General features: G+C 38.9%; 1 protein-coding gene across 12 annotated transcripts in view; it reads left to right on the plus strand.

Annotated features, from left to right (window-relative positions):
- NXPE3 (neurexophilin and PC-esterase domain family member 3) overlaps positions 1-20,574 on the plus strand; it is a 49,021-nt gene that overhangs the window by 6,113 nt on the left and 22,334 nt on the right. For all 12 annotated transcript variants that reach the window (NR_145993.2, NM_001348992.2, NM_001348994.2 and 9 more), the window contains 2 exons: positions 79-366; positions 15,912-16,666. Coding sequence is in view for 11 of the 12 variants with exons in the window: in NM_001348992.2 (NP_001335921.1) it covers positions 274-366; positions 15,912-16,666 (848 nt within the window). In the remaining variant the exon portion in view is untranslated. The remainder of the gene's footprint in view (positions 1-78; positions 367-15,911; positions 16,667-20,574) is intronic.

A 20,574-nucleotide genomic window follows, 5' to 3' on the forward strand; every position in this document is an offset into this window, starting at 1 on the left:
GGAAATGTGATGTTTTTCCTCTCACCCCACCCTAGGCCATTGCAATTGGTGATGTTCTCTCATCTCTCCTCTTTGAAGGATTTCTTTGAAGAAAAATGTGCTTCTTGAATCAACTGCAGTCTCTCCTCTGCATAAGAGCTCTTAAGGGTACTAGCAGGATAGAAGCAAATGAAACTGAAAGCTCATCTGCAGCTCAGAAAAGCAAAGACATGGAATTTTAAAGAGTGAAGGTAGCATGGTGTCGGCCATGGGTGAACAAGACACAGCCAGACAATGTGGACCAATTTCTTCAAACTACGGCTTTTCTGCTGTCTGCTTGCAGTGTTGATGGTGGTGGTGCTGGTCATCAATGTTACTCAGGTAGAGGTGAGTACCCAGTATAATCCCTCATAACTAAGGGAGCCGAGTCTGGGGATCTGGGGCTAACTAGCCTGGGAAAACGTTGGTTATCGGAAGATTATCGTAGTCACAGTTCTTGTTTTCATTTATTCGGTAAGTATTTGCGTGCTCACAATGGTTATATACGCTGCTAGTCACCGAGGGTACAGTGAAGACATTTCTTCACTTACAGGCCTTTCTTTCTAGTGCTCACATAATAAGTGTGCATGGAAGAAAAGTAGTAGTAATCATAATCACATAATAATAGTAACGATAATTGGACATTGTGAAAAGTGCAAAAAGGAAAGGGAGCTATTCTAGGATACCTTTAGAGTGATGAAGGAAAAACCTCTTCAAGGAGGGGACCTTTCAGTCAACCCATGGAAAAAAGCTGAAGGAGTATTTCAAGGGAGGGAGTAGATGAGTCTGTGTTGGAGATTACTAGATGGTACTCAGGGACCATGTCTTACTGAATCCCTCACAAGGGCCTGTCACTAAGAAGGTACTTAGTAGTGTTCCTTCTTCCCTGTCCCCAGCCCCAACATGAACTCATATAACCAAAATTTATGGTGGAGTTTCTGTATAAAGGATGCTGTCCTTTTGTTTTGTTGGCTTGTGGTACTTCTCAGATTACATATCCAACTTAATTATGGCATTTCTTTTCTTATTGGGTTTTATTAGCCTAAGGTGCTCTAAAAGCTAAGCCATAGGCTTTTAAAAAAATTTCTCCTGCTGGAATCAACTTTGTGGTTTTTAGCAGAACACCTAATCTCTCTGTGAAATGGGCACACTAAGGTCCTACAGATCTTTTCCTGTGCGCTGTGAGTAAAATTTGTTTGGTACTATGGAGAATGTGAAGTAATTCTGTTAAAGATTCTGTTAAAGATTTCCTATTAGAAATAGGCTTAAGGCATAAAAGCTAAGTATTTCTTCTTCTTTTTCTTTGCTTAAACTGTTCTTGTGTGTTTTACTATATAAGATACTACCAATCCTACACCGATAGTTCCTTTTACCTGGAAGCTGTTGATGATGTGTCTAGATATTTTAGAAACTCTTTTTTTAAAGTATTTTTTGTGGTAAATAACTAACATAGAATTTGTCATTTTAACCATTTTTAGGTGTACAATTGAGTAGCATTAAGTACATTCACATTGTTGTGCAATCACCCCACCATCTATGTCTAGAACTTTTTCATCTTCCCAAACTGCAGCTCTTTACCCATTAAACAGTGATTACCTAGGTCAGGCGCAGTGGCTCACACCTGTAATCCCAGCACTTTGGGAGGCTGAGGTGGGAGGATCCCTTGAGGTCAGGAGTTCAAGACCAGCCTGGTCAACCTGGTGAAACCCCGTCTCTACTGAGAATCACTTGTACCTGGGAGGCAGAGGTTGCTGTGAGCTGAGATCATGCCACTGCATTCCAGCTTGGGCTACAGAGGGAGACTGTCTCAAAAAAAAAAACACAACAAATCCAAAAAACAATGATTACCCATTCCTGCCTATCCCCTGCCCCTGGCATTCACTCTTCTACTTTGTGTCTCTATGAACTTGACAACTCTAAGTACCTTATACCAGTGGAATCAATCATATGATATTTGTCCTTTTTTTGTTTGTTTGTTTGTTTGAGACAGAGTCTCGCTCTGTTGCCCAGGCTGGAGTGCAATGGCACGATCTTGTCTCACTGCAACCTCTGCCTCCTGGGTTCAAGCGATTCTCATGCCTCAGCCTTCTGAGTAGCTGGGATTACAGGCGTGTGCCACCACGCTTAGCTAATTTTTGTATTTTTAGTAGAGATGGCGTTATGCCATTTGACCAGGCTGGTCTTGAACTCCTGACCTCAAGCGATCCTCCCACCTTGGCCTTCCAAAGTGCTGGGATCACAGGTGTGAGCCATGAAGCCTGGCCTGGTATTTGTCTTTTTGTGATTGGCTTATTTCTGTTAGCATAACGTCCCCAAGGTTCACTCATGTAGCATGTATCAGAATTTCTTTTCTTTTTAAGGCTGAGTAATACTTCTCTGTCTACACATAGACGGAGGAATATTATTCAACCTTAAAAAGGAAGGAAATTCCGATAGATGCTACAGCATGTACATACATACCACATTTTGTTTATCCATTCATCTGACATTTGGGTTGTTTCTACCTTTTGGCTATAATGGATAACAAGTATTTCTTCAAGACTCTGCTTTTAATTCTTTGGAATAGGTACCCGCAAATGGAATTGCTGGATTATATGGTAATTTTAATTTTTTGAGGAACCACCATATTATTTTCCATAATAGCTGCATCATTTTTTATCCTTATCAACAGTACACAAGGGTTCCAATTTCTTTGCATCCTCGCCAGCACTTGTCATTTTGTTTTGTTTTTTTGATAGTAGCCTTCTTTGTGGATGTGAGGTAATGTATAACAGTAGTTTTAATTTGCATTGCCATAATTATTAATGATGTTGAGCATCTTTCTATCATGTGCTTTTGGATAAATATCCAATTCCGGTACTCACTGTTTAACGGAGTTGTTTGTTTGTTTTTTGTTGTTGTTGAGTTGTAGGAGTTCTTTATGTGTTCTGGATATTCACTCCTTATCAGACATATGATTTGCAAATATTTTCTCCCATTCCATAGGTTGCTTTTTCACTCTGATTTTGTCCTCTGATACATAAAAATTTTTACTTTGGATGTAGTCCAGTTTATCTGTTTTGACTTTTGTTGCCTGTGTATTTGGTGTCATATCCAAGAAATCATCACCAAATTCAATGTTGTAAGACCTTTCCTCTGTGTTTTCTTCTAAGAGTTTTATAGTTTTAGCTCTTACGTTTAGGTCTTTGATCTACTTTGTTATCCTTTAAAAAAATTGTGATGAAAACACATAAAATTTGGTATCTTAGTTATTTTTAGGTGTACAGGTCAGTAGCATTAAGTCTTTTTTTTTGAGACGGAGTCTTGCTCTGTTGCCCAGGTTGGAGTGCAGTAGCATGATCTCGTCTCACTGCAACCTCCTCCTCCCAGATTCAAGTGATTCTCTTGCTTCAGCCTCCCGAGTAGCTGGGATTACAGGCGTCTGCCACCATGCCCAGCTAATTTTTGTATTTTTAGTAGAGATGGGGTTTTGCCATGTTGGCCAGGCGGGTCTTGAACTCTTGACCTCAGGCGATCCACCCACCTCGGCCTCCCAAAGTGCTGGGATTACGAGCATGAGCCACCATGCCTGGCCTCAGTAGCATTAAGTCTTATTTACATTGTCTTGGAATAGATTTCCAAAACCCCTTTTATCTTTTTAATATCTGTAGAATTGTGTTTATCTTATTACTCCTGATCACTCTGACCAGAGATTTGTGTTTTATTGATCTTTTTGAAGAACCAGCTTTTGATTTCATTTTCTGTATTTTTTCTGTTTTTTTGTTTGGTCAATTTCCATTCTGATCTTTATTATTTCCCTTCTTCTGTTTACTTTGGATTTAATTGTCTCGTCCTAGTTTCTTAAAGTGATAGCTAAAGTCATTGTTTTGAGATCTTTCTTTTCTAATTAAATGTTTAATGCTATAAATTTTCTTCTACAAGGCTGGGTGTGGTGGCTTAGGCCTGTAATCCCAGCACTTTGGGAGGCTGAGACAGGAGGATCACCTGAGGCCAGAAGTTTGAGACCAGCCTGGGCAACATAGTGAGACCCCATCTCTACAAAAAATTTTGAAAAATTAGGTGAGTGTAGTGGTGTGTGCCTGTTGTCCTAGCTACTTGGGAAGCTGAGACGGGAGAATCCCTTGAGCCCAGGAGTTTGACTTTATGGTGAGCTATGATCATGTCACTGCACTTCAGCTTGGGCAGCAGGGTGAGACCCTGTCTCTAAAAAAATAAAAATAAAAATAATAAAAAATGTATTTCTATATACTGCTCTAATGTATACCACACATTTAGATATTGTTCTCATTTTCATTTTCATTCAGCTGAATTACATTCTAATTTCCCTTTTTCTTTTCTTTAACCCATGTGTTATTTAGGTTTTTTTTGGCGACAAATTTTCACTCTGTCACCTAGGCTGGAGTGCAGTGGCATGCTCATGGCTCACTACAGCCACAACCTTTGGGCTCAAGTGATCCTCCCACCTCCCCCTCCCAAGTAACTGGGACTACAGGTGTCTGCAACCATGCCCAGCTAATTTTTTATGTTTTTGCAGAGATGGGGTCTCACTATGTTGTCCAGGCTTTTTTCAAACTTCTGGACTCAAGCGATCCTCCTGCCTAAGCCTCCCAAAGTGCTGCGAATACAGGTGTGAGCCACTGCATCCAGCCCCATATATTATTTAGAAGTGTTATTTAACTTTCAAATATTTAGATATTTTGCAAATACCTTTCTGTTATTGATTCCTCATTTAATTCCCCTGAGAGCATACTTTGTATTACTTGAATTCTTTTAAAACATTATTGAGATTTGTTTATGGCACAAAATATGGTCTATTTTGGTATATATTCTATGTGTACTGGAAAGGAATGCATTCTGCTTTTATTGCATGGAGTATTCTATAAATGTCAGTTAGATCAACATGGTTCATGGTGTTGGTTGTCTTCTGTATATCTTTACTATTTTCTGTCTACATGCTCTATCAGTTATTGAAAGGAGAATATTGAAGTCTCTCACTATAATTGTGAATTTGTCTATTTCACCTTGCATTTCTGTCAGTTTTCACTTCATGTGTTGTGAAATTCTGTTCTTAGGTACATAAATGTTTAGAATTGTGTCCTCTTGATGAATTTAGTTGCTTTATCATCATGAGTTGGCCTTCTTCATGCTTGGTAAAATTCTTTGCTCCGAAATGTACTCTGTATGATATTATATAACCACTCTAGCTTTCCTTTGTTTGCTGTTAGCAAGTATATCTTTTTCCATAATTTTATTATTTTTTATTTTTTTTGAGACAGGGTCATGCTCTGTAGCCCAGGCTGGAGTGCAGTGGCATGACCATGGCTCACCACAACCTCTGTCTCGCGGGCTCAAGTGATCCTCTCCTCTCAGCCTTCTGAGTAGCTGGGACAACAGGTGTGCGCCACCACGTCTGGCTAATTTTTTGTATTTTCTTTTTAGATACGGGGTTTCGCCACATTGCCCAGGCTGGTCTTGCACTCCTGGGCTCAAGTGATCCAGCTGCCTTGGCCTTCCAAAGTGCTGGGATTACAGGTGTGAGTCACCACACCCAGCCAGTTATTATTTTTTAAACCTACTTGTGTTTTTATATTTATTTATTGAATTGTATTTTTTTTAAAACTTTCATTTTAGGTTTGGGGGTACATGTAAAGGTTTGTTACACAGGAAAGCATATGTCAGTGGGGGTTTGTGTACATATTATTTCATCACCCAATTATTAAGCCCAGTACCCTCTCTGCTCCTCTCCCTCCTCCCACTGTCCTCGCTCAAGTAAACCCCAGTGTCTGTTGTTTCCTTCTTTGTGTTCATAAGTTCTTATCATTTAGTTCCCACTTACAAGTGAGTACATGCCGTATTTGGTTTTCTGTTCCTGTGTTAGTTTGCTAAGGATAACAGCCTACAGCTCCATCCATGTTCCCACAAAAGATATGATCTCTTTCATTCTTATGGCTGCATAGTATTCCATGCTGTATATGTAATATAAGATTTTCTTGCATTTTCTTATATTTTTTATGGAACATAAGATTTTCTTTATCCAGTCTGTTATTTATTTATTTATTTTTGGGTCAGAGTCTTGCACTGTCACCTGGGCTGGAGTGCAATGGCACGATCTCTGCTCACTGCAACCTCCGCCTCCCAGGTTCAAGTTATTCTCCTGCCTCAGCCTCCCAAGTAACTGCGATTACAGATGTCCACCACCACGTCTGGCTAATTTTTGTATTTTTAGTAGAGACATGGTTTCACTATATTGGCCGGGCTGATCTCGAACTCGTGATCTGCCTGCCTCAGCCTCCCAAAGTGCTGAGATTACAGGTGTGAGCCACCACGCCCGGCCTTATCCAGTCTGTTTTTGATGGGCATTTAGGTTGATTCCATGTCTCTGCTGTTGTGAATAGTGCTGCAGTGAACATTTGCATGCATGTGTCTTTATGGTAGAATGACTTCTATTCCTCTAGGTATACACTCTGTAATAAGATTGCTGGTGGAATCGTAGTTCTGCTTTTAGGTCTTTGAGGAATTGCCATAATGCTTTCCACAATCGTTGAACTAATTTACGCTCACACCAACACTGTATAAGTGTTCCCTTTCCTCTTCAACATTGCCAGCATCTGTTATTTTTTGACTTTTTAATAATAGCTATTCTGACTGGTGTGAGATCTCACTGTGGTTTTGATTTGCATTTCTCTAATGATCAGTGATATTGAGCTCTTTGGCCGCATGTGTGTCTTCTGAGAAGTTTCTGTTCATGTCCTTTGCCCATCTTTTAATGGGGTTGTTTCTTGTAGATTTTGTTTCAGTTCCTCATAGACACTGGATATTAGACCTTTGTCAGATGCATAGTTTGCAAATATTTTCTACCATTCTGCAGGTTGTCTGTTTACTCTATTGATAGTATCTTTTGCTGTGCCAGAGCTCTTAAGTTTAATTAGATCCCAGTTGTCAATTTCTGCTTTTGTTGCAATTGCTTTTGGTGTTTTTGTCATGAAATCTTTGCCCATTCCTATGTCTGGGATGGTATTGCCTAGGTGGTCTTCTAGGGTTTTTACAGTTTTGGATTTTACATTTAAATCTTTAATCCATCTTGAGTTGATTTTTGTATGTAGTGTAAGGAAGGGGTCCAGTTTCAATTTTTTGCATATGGCTAGCCAGTTATTCCAGCACCGTTTATTGAATAGGGAGTCTTTTCCTCATTGCTTGTTTTTGTCACCTTTGTTGAACATCAGATTGGTCATAAATGTGTGGCCTTGTTTCTGGATTCTCTATTCTGTTTTGTTGGTCTCTGTGCCTGTTTTTGTACCAGTACTATTCTGTTTTGGTTACTGTTGCCTTGTAGTATAGTTTGAAGTCAGGTAACATGATGACACCAGCTTTATTCTTTTTGCTTAGGATTGCCTTGGCTATTTGGGCTCTTTTTGGTTGCATATGAATTTTAAAATAGTTTTTTTCTGGTTTTGTGAAGAATGTTGTCAGTAGTTTGCTAGGAATAGCATTGAATCTGTAAATTGCTTTGGGCAGTATAGCCATTTTAATTATATTGATTCTTCTTATTAATGAGCATGGAATGTTCTTCCATTTGTTTGTGTCTTCTCTGATTTATTTGAGTAGTGTTTTGTAATTCTCATTTTAGAGCTCTTTCACCTCCCTTGTTAGCTGTATTCATGAGTATTTTATTCTTTTTGTGGCAACTGTGAATGGGATTGCCTTTCTGATTTGGCTCTCAGTTTGGCTGCTGTTGATGTATAGGAATGCTGGTGATTTTTGTACATTGTTTTTGTATTCTGAAACTTTGCTGAAGTTGTTTATTAACTAGAGGAGCTTTTGGGCTGAGATTATGGGTTTTTCTAAATATAGAATCATGTCGTCTGCAAACAGAGATAGTTTGATTTCCTCTCTTCCTATTTGGATGCCCTTTATTTCTTTCTCTTGCCTGATCCTCTGGCTAGGATTTCCAATGTTGAATATAAGTGGTGAGAGGTGACATGCTTTTCTTGTGCTGGTTTTCACGGGGAATGCTTCCAGCTTTTGCTCATTCATGTTGTCTGTGGTGTTTTTATATTTAAAACAGGTTTCTTCTAGCTAGCATGTAATTGGATCTTGTTTTTTATCTAATCTGACAATCTCTGCCTTTTAGTTGGGGTGCTTAGCCTGTTTACATTTAATATATTTTTTGAAAGCATTATGGTTACATCTACCATTTTGCTGTTTGTTTTTTATTTGTCCCACCTCTTCTCTATTCCCCTTTTTCCTTTTTTTCTGCCTTTTTTTTTTGTATTAATTGACAAGGTCTTTTTTTTTTTTTTTTTTTTTTTTTTTTTATCTGTGCTTTTCCAGTCTGGCTGGTAGGAAGTACTATTCCTGTATAAACTCAGGTTATTGTTTTTATTTTTATTTTTATTTTTGCTTTCAGTAGTTCTCTCCCCAGCCTCCAATAGTTTCTTTATACACATATGCTTATCATCGCTCTGTTGAATACTTGAGTGGGACTGTCTGTAGATCTCCTGAGTTATTTTTCTTCACAGTTGTTTTGCTTTCCTGTGAATTATAATCACCATGGTCTTTAAGACTCTCAGCCTCATCTCCTTGCCTTGGGTGCTTTGCCATGCTCCACCGGGGCTCCTCTTCCTGTGCTGCAGCCTGGAAACTCTCTCAAGACACTAAGCTAAGGACAGTCCTTGGGCTCATCTCGTTTGTTTACTGTCTCTCAGGCATCACTGTGTTTTATTGTCTGATGCCTAGTGTCTGGAAAACCATTGTTTCATGTATTTTGCCTTTTTTTTTTTTCAGTTGTTTCATGTGAGAGGCTAAATCGCATTACTGTTTCTCTATCTTTGCTGGAAGTGGAAGTTTGAGGGACTTGAATTTGTGGGGAAAGAGATTATAGAGAAGCTGAAGGGGGGAGGAGAGGATGAGATCTAGAGCACAGATGGAGCATATAACCTTTTATAGGACAAGGAGCATGAGTATATTGTGAGTATTCTTGTTATTTTATTAACTACATAGGAGGAGCCGTGTTCCTTCCTCTGACCTAAGAGGGAAAGATATCCTGATGGTTGGCAATGCAGATACATTTGCTTAGAGGGTAGGACATTCAGGGAGTTTCTGGCTGTGAAGAAGATGGAAGGTAGGAGGGTAGAGCCCAGGAGGTTTGTGTGGGACTTGAAATAATGGTTTTCTAGATGGAGTTCGAAATAATGGATTTCTAGATGGAGTAGGATGGCAGAGGGACAATAAATTTCAAGACCTTAAGTGTGCATGGCACTTACTGCATTGGTTTTGTGAATGTGTGTGTTAATTTTATCATATTCAACACACAAAGTATTATAATAGACAAAAAAAGATAGTTGTGTAGTTCTTGGGTAGAGAAGGAGGAAGGTAAAGGGAGAGACAGAGAGACTTGAGAGGGTAGGCTGCAGTCCCACATCAGTAATGTTATAACAGTCAGGAAGGAATGTTAGAAAATTATTCTTTTGTTCTACTTTAGTTCTTGGAAACTTCCGTACTTAATGCCAGCTAAAGGCTCTAATTATTTGAACGAACTAACTCTTCTCTACTGAATGGAGAAGGCAGGTATCAATATTGAATAAACAGTTGTGATATTGAAAATCAGATGCGTCTTTTAGTGGAGTGAGCTATAAGCATTTTCACCTGTCTGAAGAGGTCATCTTGTCCAGCATGATACTGTTGTCATGAATTTTAAGCTACTTATTACTGTGATGATAATTGATAAAGAAGCTTGGAGTAAATGGAGAAAAGGCTCTGGCTCTGAAATTTGTCAGTCTCTCACTCTCTAATCCCTTTCCATACTATGCTTCTGACACTCACTATACTCTTATGATTGGAGTATCTTATCAGTTTCTAAAACGCAGACTCAATTGTAATGAAAAATATTACATAAGCTGGGCACAATGGCTCATGCCTGGATTCCTAGCACATTGGGAGGCCCAGGTGGGCGGATCATCTGAGGTCAGGAGTTTTGAGACCAGCTTGGCCGACATGGCGAAACCCCCGTCTCTACTAAAAATACAAAAAAGCTGGGCGTGGTAGCGGGTGCCTATAATCCTAGCTACTCGGGAGGCTGAGACATGAGAATCACTTGAATCTGGGTGTCAGAGGTTGCACTGAGCTGAGATTGCACCACTGCACTTCAGCCTGGGCAACAAAGTGAGACTTATCTAAAAAAAAAAAAAAAAGCAGTCCATATTATGAGAAGGGGGTATTTGTAACAATATCTAGCAAAAGATTGGAGGGAGAATTGCAGTCTTTTATTTCTCCGATAAACTCTCATTGAGCAAGTTCTGTATTTTTTTTCTTTTGCCTTATTCATTGATATTTTAGATATGTATTATAACACCTGTGTATTAGGGCTTTGGGCTTCAGGTAAAGATGCCCAATTCAAGCTAATGGTAATATATATTACTCATTTGAATAGAAGTCAGTAGATAGGTTGGGCATAGTTCTTTTGGGAATCAGCCTCTGTTTGTCTGTAAGCCTCTTAACTGTGCCTTCTTTTGTGTGTTACCTTTCATCTATGGCATCCTCCTTCATGGTTGATTGTAGGATGGCTACCAGAGCAATGGCGTTTTTGCTTTCTTGTACATGCCCACCTGAAGAAACAGTTGTTCTCTTGAAATGATCTCAAGGTACTGTGTTTTTTCATTTGCAAGTACAATTCAAATAGCTGTTACCAAGGGGAATTAGTGGTGCCTGGATTTGGCTGCATGCAAGCATAAGCCTCCAGCAACCTCACCTGGTTCTCATAGTCCAGAATTGGGTCACATGCCCATTCCTGAACCAGCCGTTTACCTGGGACTACCCCTCCATCAGTTAGGCCCACCCCTGGGCTGACAGGTCAGCAAACAGCATTGCTATGGTTCACTAGGCCAGGAGTGAAATGGATGTGGGACAGGCAATCACCATGTTCACTCCAGCCCATAGGTTATGATGGCTTGAGGAGTGAGCCATCTGTTTGGTATTTCCTCTTAGCTCTAAACCTAAAAAGATGGCGGGTGTGAAGTTGCCCTTGTCTTTAGGAAAATTAAGCAAATTGACATTTTTGCATTTTTGTCATTTGCAAGTAAAATTCAGGGGAATTACCACCAAATGTGTGGTGATTTCTGGATTGGGTTGCATGTATCAGTCAGTTGGGCGAGGAAGAAAGGAAAAGGTTAGGAAGAGGAGCTATGCTGTAAGCACATGGTGCATGATTTGGTCCTTAATGGTGTGTCACAGACTTACAACAACTAAAAAGGAGAGGGTGGCTGGAACATTTCCTGAAAGGTAATCAGTAAGTTAATAAAGGGAATTTTTCAAAGTCAGTTTTGTTTTCCCCATGCCATTTTTTAAATGAACAAATACTGCCATATACTCCTTTAAAATGAAGCCTCCTAAATGAGATTCTTTAAAGTGAAAATGTGTGTATGTTAGTATAAAATCAGAGGGGAAAAATACAGAATCTAAGAAGAGCATTAAACATTCTTGTATCTTGAGATTATTTTTACCTTATGTAGGATTTTGAAGTGGTTTGTTATAGGTGGGGATCCTGAGGCCTTGTTTAAGTGTTTTACTAGAAACAAGGAAATGCTATAGCTATTGAGGAGAGAGATTTTTGGTTTTGCTTTGTTGTTTATTCCCCTGCAGTTTAACCAATTGCATAACGTAAGATGTAGTTTTCTACATCTTAGGTAGATTAGTTATATGCCTCAGGTTAGGTATATAACTTTTTTCCTGCCCATTTATTCCTGTATCCTGTTTACTAATAAAGTAATTCATGGAATAGATGGAAATTTCAAAGAATGGAGAATGGTATTAAGTACACAGTTGGATCCCCTCCCCATTCTTTACTCTGAGTGAATGTAGTTGCTTATTTTTAATTATTTGGGTAGTTAGCACTAATTATACATTACATACTTATATCTTGATTTGTGAACTTTACAAGGTATCTCCTGACTTGTTCATATGAGGCAGTGTATCATGGGTGGTTAAGAACACAGGTCTTAATTCAGACAGCTTGGCTTCTAATCCTCTGCTGCTTCTAACCTACATGGCCTTGAGCAAATTATTAAGCTATTCTTTTTTTTTTTTAATTTTTTTTTTTTATTATACTTTAAGTTTTAGGGTACATGTGCACATTGTGCAGGTTAGTTACATATGTATACATGTGCCATGCTGGTGCGCTGCACCCACTAACGTGTCATCTAGCATTAGGTATATCTCCCAATGCTATCCCTCCCCCCTCCCCCGACCCCACCACAGTCCCCAGAGTGTGATATTCCCCTTCCTGTGTCCATGTGATCTCATTGTTCAATTCCCACCTATGAGTGAGAATATGCGGTGTTTGGTTTTTTGTTCTTGCGATAGTTTACTGAGAATGATGGTTTCCAATTTCATCCATGTCCCTACAAAGGACATGAACTCATCATTTTTTATGGCTGCATAGTATTCCATGGTGTATATGTGCCACATTTTCTTAATCCAGTCTATGATTGTTGGACATTTGGGTTGGTTCCAAGTCTTTGCTATTGTGAATAATGCCGCAATAAACATACGTGTGCATGTGTCTTTATAGCAGCATGATTTATAGTCATTTGGGTATATACCCAGTAATGGGATGGCTGGGTCAAATGGTATTTCTAGTTCTAGATCCCTGAGGAATCGCCACACTGACTTCCACAATGGTTGAACTAGTTTACAGTCCCACCAACAGTGTAAAAGTGTTCCTATTTCTCCACATCCTCTCCAGCACCTGTTGTTTCCTGACTTTTTAATGATTGCCATTCTAACTGGTGTGAGATGATATCTCATAGTGGTTTTGATTTGCATTTCTCTGATGGCCAGTGATGATGAGCATTTTTTCATGTGTTTTTTGGCTTATTAAGCTATTCTTTGCCTCAGTTTCCTTGTCTCTAAAATGGACATAATAACAGGACTTACCACATGTGATAATTTGAACATTGAATTTAAAGATTCATGTAAACTGTTTACAAGAGTATCCAGCACATAAGTGATCACAATAAATGTTGGCTGTTTCTGCTACTGCTGTTTTTTAATTTTTCTTTCTTTTAAGCACAGGGTCTCACTCTGTTGCCCAGGCTAGAGTGCGGTGGCACAGTCATTGTTCACTGTAACCTCTAACTCCTGGGCTCAAGCAATCCTCATATATATACACATATATATGTATGTGTATATATGTATGTATATATGTATGTAGATATATGTCTATATATATAATGTATATATATGTGTGTCTATATATATATATATATTTTTTTTTTTTTTCTTTTAAAGTTTTTGAGACAAAGTCTTGTTCTGTTGTCCAGGCTGGAGTGCAGTGGCACAATCTCAGCGTACTGCAACCTCTGCCTCCTGGGTTCAAGCAATTCTCGTGCTTCAGCCTCCTGAGTAGCTGAGATTACAGGTGTGTACCACCACACCCAGCTAAATTTTTGTATTTTTAGTAGAGACAGGGTTTCACCATGTTGCCCAGACTAGTCTCGAACTCTTGAGCTCAAACGATCCCGATCTGTCCACCTCTGCCTCCCAAAGTGCTAGGATTACAGGCGTGAGCCACTGTGCCCAGCCCAGTTTTAATTTATATTTATTTATTTATTTGTTAGAGACAAGGTCTTGCTCTGTTGCTCTGGCTGGAGTTCCATGGTGTGATCATAGCTCACTACAACCTGGAGCTCCTGGGTTCAGTGATCTTCCCAGCTCAGCCTTCCGTGTAGCTAGGACTACAGGCATATGCCACCACGCTTGGCTAACTTTAAAAAAAAATTCTTGTAGAGATGGGGGTCTTGCTATGTTTCCCAGGTTGGTCTTGAACTCCTGGCCTCAAGCAGTTCTTCTGCTTCAGCCTCCCGAAGTGTTGGAATTACAGGCATGAGCCACTGCACCTGATCTACTACTGTTAACATAATGAAAGATGAGGCCTCTGCTTCATTCTCCTTCCACAATTTGTAAAATTAATTTTATTTCTATATATAACATTAAATAATGTATCTAGTCCTTTTATTTCCCCAACAGCATAATATATCTTAACTTCCTGCTCTAAGTGATGAAGAAAGCCCTACTCATTCTTATTTATTTATTTGTTATTATTTTTTTGAGATGGAGTCTCATTCTGTCGCCCAGCCTGGAGTGCAGTGGCGCGATCTTGGCTCACTGCAACCTCTGCCTCCTGGGTTCAAGCAGTTCTCTCCCTCAGCCTTCCGAGTAGTTGGGATTACAGGCGCCTGCCACCACACTCAGCTAATTTTTGTATTTTTAGTAGAGATGGGGTTTCAGCATGTTGGCCAGGCTGGTCTTGAACTCCTGACCTTGTGATCCATCTGCCTCGGCCTCCCAAAGTGCTGGGATTACAGGTGTGAGCCACCGCATCTGGCCTACTTCATTCTTTTATATTTGATTTCCACTAGTTATAATATTACTTTTGCATCATTAGGTGCATTCTTTATGGATTGTATCCTTCAAGGAATTGGTCCATTTCATCTGGGTTATCAAATTTATGGGCATAGAATTGTTCATAATATTCCTTTATTCCTTTAATGTCCATGGGATCTGTAGTGATGGCTTCTCTTTCATTTCTGATATTAATAATTTGTGTCCTCCCTCTTTTTTTCTTAGCCTGGGTAGAGGGCTTATCAATTTTATCAATCTTTTAAAAAACCAGCTTTGGGTTTCATTGATTTTTCTTTATTGATTTCCTGTTTTCAAGTTCATTGATTTCTGCTATCATGTTTATTATTTTTCTTCTGCTTATTTTGGATATTGTTTGCTCTTCTTTTTCTAGTTTGCTAAGATGTAAGGTTAAATTACTGATTTTAGGTTGTTTTTCTTTCCTAAAATATGTATAGTACTATGAATTTCCCTCTAAGCACTTCTCTTGCTTCATTCTATAGTGTTTAATGAATTATATTTTCACCTTCACCTAGTTAACATATTTTTAAATTTCTCATGAGATTTTGTATGTTACCCATTTGTATACCATTTTGGGATTTTTCCAGCTCTCTTTCTATTATTGATTTCTAGTTTAATTTCATTATGGCTTAAGAGAAGACACTGTATGATTTTTATTTTAAAAAATTTTTAAGGTGTATTTTATGGCCCAAAATGTGGTCCGTTTTGGTGAATGTTCCATGTGAGCTTGATATGAAGTAGTTTACAGATGTCAACTATATCCAGTTTATTGATGGTGCTGTTGAATTCAACTATGTCCTTACCGATTTTCTGCCTGCTGGATCTGTGTATTTCTGATAGAGGATTGTTGAAGTTTCAGACTATAATGTAGATTCATCTATTTCTCCATTAGTTTTTGCCTCACATGTTTTGATACTCATTGGTTAGGTACATACATGTTAAGGGTTGTTTTTTTTTTTGGAGAATTGACTCCTTTATTATTATGTAATGACCCTCTTTATCTTTGCTAACCTTCCTTGCTTTGAAATCTGCTCTGTCTGAAATTAATATAACTACTACTGGTTTCTTTGGATTAGTGTTAGCATGGTATATCTTTCTCCATTCCTTTACTTTTTTCTTGGTGTTTCTCCATCTTAGGTTGGACTGGGTGGCTCGAGTGGGCTGGAGTTGGATATTTCCCTTCTCTCAAGTTGGTTAGGCTCTGATAAAACTCCAATAGGCTAGGTTCTGATAAAGTGGTTTCTCTTGAGGGGCAGCTTTGTTAAGAACAACACAGTGCTCTGCATACTTCAAAATGGGTCCTTTTCCCTTTCTCTTCCCGGAAGCCCAAGGGGATTTTTCTTTGATATTCACTGTGAGAATCTGATTGAGCTCCTGGAGCTAAAACTCACAGAAGTGTGGGGAGCCCTCTGAATTTATGCCAAAATACAGAGACCTATTATAGTGGTAATTTCTGTTGTTTGTGTCTTCTTCTTCAGTACTTGGACCATGAGACTGTTTCAGCCACTTTCATCGACAGCAGTGGACAGTTTGTTTCCTCCCAGGTGACAGGAATTAGCCGAAATCCCTACTGTGGCTATGATCAGCAGACCCTGTCCAGCCAGGAGCGCATGGAGGAGGACTCCTTGCTGGCTGCCTTGCACCGGCAGGTTCCTGATGTGGGCCCAGTCCCCTTTGTGAAGAGCACTGACCCTTCTTCCAGCTACTTTGTCATCTTGAACTCTGCTGCCTTCTTTAAGGTGGGAAGCCAGCTTGAGGTGCTGGTTCATGTGCAGGATTTTCAAAGAAAGCCCAAGAAGTATGGTGGAGACTACCTGCAGGCCAGAATTCACTCCCTCAAGCTGCAGGCTGGGGCTGTGGGCAGGGTGGTGGATTACCAGAATGGGTTTTACAAGGTTTTCTTTACTTTGCTATGGCCAGGCAAAGTTAAAGTATCCGTATCTCTGGTCCACCCCAGTGAAGGGATCAGAGTTCTTCAGCGCTTACAGGAAGATAAACCAGACAGGGTCTATTTCAAGAGTCTCTTCCGTTCAGGAAGAATTTCTGAAACTACTGAGTGCAACGTGTGTCTTCCTGGGAATCTGCCCCTGTGTAACTTTACAGACCTCTACACTGGGGAGCCCTGGTTCTGCTTCAAACCAAAGAAGCTCCCTTGCAGCAGCAGAATTACCCATTTCAAAGGTGGATACCTGAAAGGTCTCCTAACCGCTGCAGAGAGTGCTTTCTTCCAGAGGTATGTACTGCTTTTTCTTGGGGATGATTTGAAGAGTTCTTTTCCACTGTCCTTGTCCCATTTAGGAGACTTTCTGGTATTCGGTATGTGTTTCTTACCTCTCTCTCAACTTGGCCCAATACAGAAGAGGTAGTGAATAAAAAAAAAAACATAGATTTGTATTTTTCATTAGTGTTTTAAAAATGAAGCTTAATGCTTATCTGAGTCCAAATTAAAGACCTTTTACCCTTGAATTTTTGTTCTTTACCCTCATATCTGTGTTTTCCTTTAGAACCACATAGCATGTTTACACAGTAGCTGTGTAAGTAAAATCCCTTATTCACAGAACAGATAGAAGTTATCTAAGGGTCAGATGTGGTGACTCATGCTTGTAATCCCAGCACTTTGGGAGGCTGAAACGGGAGGATCGCTTGAGCCCAGGAGTTTGAGACCAGCCTGGGCAACATAGCAAGACCCCATCTATTTTATGTAAAGAAAAAAATAATCCAAGAACAGGGCTGGTAGGGCTGGTAGTCAGGCTGGTGTTTTATCTTTGTATCTAATGAACTGAAACTTTAAAAAGTAACATAATAACAGTTTTTAAAATCATTTGAACCTACTGATTAAAAAACTATGAATATGGCAACATTGCTGGGTTGACTTAATAAGCATAGGAAGTCAGGAATACCACAGAAAACTATATTTTTTAAGCTAAATAGTTGTTGAAATTATTGCAGTATTGTGTTCAAATTTCTATTTCAAATGTAAGCTTAAAATATTTTCAGCATGATGAGAAATACATGGAATAATGTGCAGAAAGGAATATGGAACCAGTATGAATTAAAATTTGTGTTTTCTTCAACATTCCATAACATCACTAAGAAATAAAAAATTATAAAAGCTACATGGTTAAAAAGTACCATGCTGGCCAAGCGTGGTGGCTCATGACTGTAGTCCCAGCACTTTGGGAGGCTGAGGTGGGAGGAAGGCTGGAGCCCAGGAGTTTGAGGTTGCAGTGAGCTGTGATCACAATTGCACTACAGCCTGGACAACAGAGTGAGACCCTGTCTCAACAAAAAGTACAATTGTTTGAAAGAATGTATACATGTTTTTTACTTTTTAGTGAAATATATTGTTTTTAAACATTCCTTGGTAGAGAGAATTTTTTTGTTGGATAAAAGGGAGGTATTTTTGTTAAGGATATCTGGGCACCCTAAAAATTTCATACTTTATGTCCACTCATTACCGTATGGGAGAAAAGTTGCTACCATAAAGTATGTGGTTTGTAGGAGCTCCTAAAATAAAACTCTTCAGTTTTCCACCCTGAAGTCAGCTTTTGGTCATACCAGATTATGTACATATGTAGTGGGTTCATGCCATACTTTTAGAAGGCCAGCAGAGGGAGCACTACTCAATGTACAGTGTTTACTGTACTGCTGAGAAGACTAGTATTTTCTATGGCTCAGTACAAAATGAAAACAAAATTAAATTTCACAACTCCTCAAAACAAAACCAAAACAAAATTTTTCATTTTATTCGTGGGTTCAGGTTTCAGACATGCTATTTATTAGTGACTGAGCAGATTATTTTATTTCTGTGTACTTTTTTGCCTATATATGAAGACTACTCAATTACCCTATTTTAGAGGGTTGGTTTGTTTGTTTGTTTTGCAACAGGGTCTCACTTTGTCATCCAGGCTGGAGTGCAGTGGCATGATTGCAGCTTGCTGCAGCCTCAACGTCCCGGGTTCGACGGATTCTCCCACCTCAGCCTCCCGAGTAGTTCGGACTACAGGTGTGCGCCACCACACCCAGCTAATTTTTGTATGTTTTGTAGAAATGTGGTTTCACTATGTTGCCCAGGCTGGTCTTGAACCCCTGGGCTCAAGTAGTCCTCCTGCTTTGTCCTCCCAAAGGGCTGGAATTACAGATGTGAGCCACCATACCCCGTTAGAGTTGTGTTTTTAGATTTTTAAGTTATTATGGATACATCCTAGTTGCACATATTTTTGAGGTAGATGTGATATTTTGATACAAGCATATAATATGTAATGATCAAATCAGGGTAATTGGAGTATCCATTGCCTAAAGCATTTATCATTTCTTTGTGTTGGGAACATTCCAATTCCACTGTCATAATTGTTTTGAAATATATAGTAAATGATTGTTAACTATAATTGCCCTATAGAGTTACGTTGTCAGTCTACTTAGTGGCCTAGCAAAGAGGAAGAAACATAGTAATTTACGCAAATTCCAGGTGGAAAATAGAGAAAGTTTAGAGAACTAAATTAGTGTAAAACTTAAAAGTATTTCTGACTATAAATTCTACCATTAAAAACAAAAAAGCACCCGTGAACCCACAAGGATAAAATAATGTGTTTGTCCCTGCCCTTCCTTGCATATCCTGGGTGAGGCTGGTTGATGGTACATTGTTGTAGAATAATTGCGGAATTTTATTTACCTGGAAGTTTGCTGAGAAAACAATGTCTGAGGTGGTGTAAGTTTTTGGAAAGCAAACATTTGACAGAGTTCTCATAATTGATTTTCATTTTCCACCCTTTATTCTGTTAAAGTTCTGAAATATTGCATAAGGCCATCTGAAAAGAAAAAGAAAAAGATTGAAATTGATTTTTTGGGGGATCTTTGGGTATACTGTTTTGAGCTCATGGCCCAAATATGTTGAGCTGATATCCTTTTTTACTTCTCTTCCTTGGTAGCTCATAACCTTACTTAAACCAGAAAGAATTAAGAAGCTTAGCCTTGGTATTTGGTTCCCTAAATGACAGTTGAACAATTAAAATATGTCATCTTTGTTCTTTATCTATAAGGGAATAAAAGTGTTACTTTTGGAAAGGACAACAGGGGTTTCCTTAAAGATCCTATTAATATAAGGGAAGGCCTTTTGAAAGAATGGGCTTATCACCTACAACATTTCCCTTTTATTTTAGCATGATTGCTACTTTTTTCTTTCTAACTTTGTGTTTAAAAAATTGAATCTTTAGAAACATTGCAGGAATAATAACAATGAACTCATATACCTTTAACTTAGATTCACTATTATTGTTTTGACACATTTTGCTTTATCTTTCTTTGTGTTTATATGTATCTGTGTATAATTTTTTCCCCTGAACCACCTGAGAGTATGTTGCAGACATCATGGCACTGCACTCCATAAATATGCCTCTCCTAAGAAAATGGACTTTCTCTAACATATAACCATAATGATCACATTTGGGACATTTATCATTGTTATAGTACTGTTATTTAATATGCAGTTCATATTAGATATTCAAGTTTCTTCAGTTGTCCCAATAATGACTTCTGTAGCTATCTTTTTAATTTTAACTAATCTAATCTATGCTTACTCAGTGTGTTTGGTTATCTCTTTAATCCAAAAGAATTCTTTAGCCTATTTTGTTTTGTACAACATTGGCAATTTTGATGTTGCTGTTTTGTAGAATGTCCTTTTTTTTTTTTTTGAGATAGGGTGTCGCTTTGTCATCCAGGCTGGGGTGCGGTGCAGTGATCTCAGCTCACTGTAACCTTCAGCTCACTTGACTTCCTGGGGTCAAGTGATTCTTGTGCCTCACCCTCCCAAGTAGCTGGGAGTACTAGGCACGCACCACCATAGCTGGCTAATTTTTGTATTTTTAGTAGAGATGGAGTTTTGCCATGTTGGCCAGGCTGGTCTCAGACTCCTGGCCTCAAGGATATCTGCCCGTCTTGGCCTCCCAAAGTGCTGGGATTACAGGCGTAAGCCACCACGCCCAGTCTGCTTTGGATTTGCTTTATTGTTTTCACTTTCCATGTGATTAGATTGAGGCTAAATATTTTGGCAGGAAAATTATAGAAGAAGTTTTCCTGCAAATATTTTTACAGGAAATTATGTTTTTGTAAGAAAATTATTATTGTACAATAATAATTATATAA

Source organism: Homo sapiens, chromosome 3, assembly GCF_000001405.40.
Source record: "Homo sapiens chromosome 3, GRCh38.p14 Primary Assembly".
NCBI classification, from domain to species: Eukaryota; Metazoa; Chordata; class Mammalia; order Primates; family Hominidae; genus Homo; species Homo sapiens.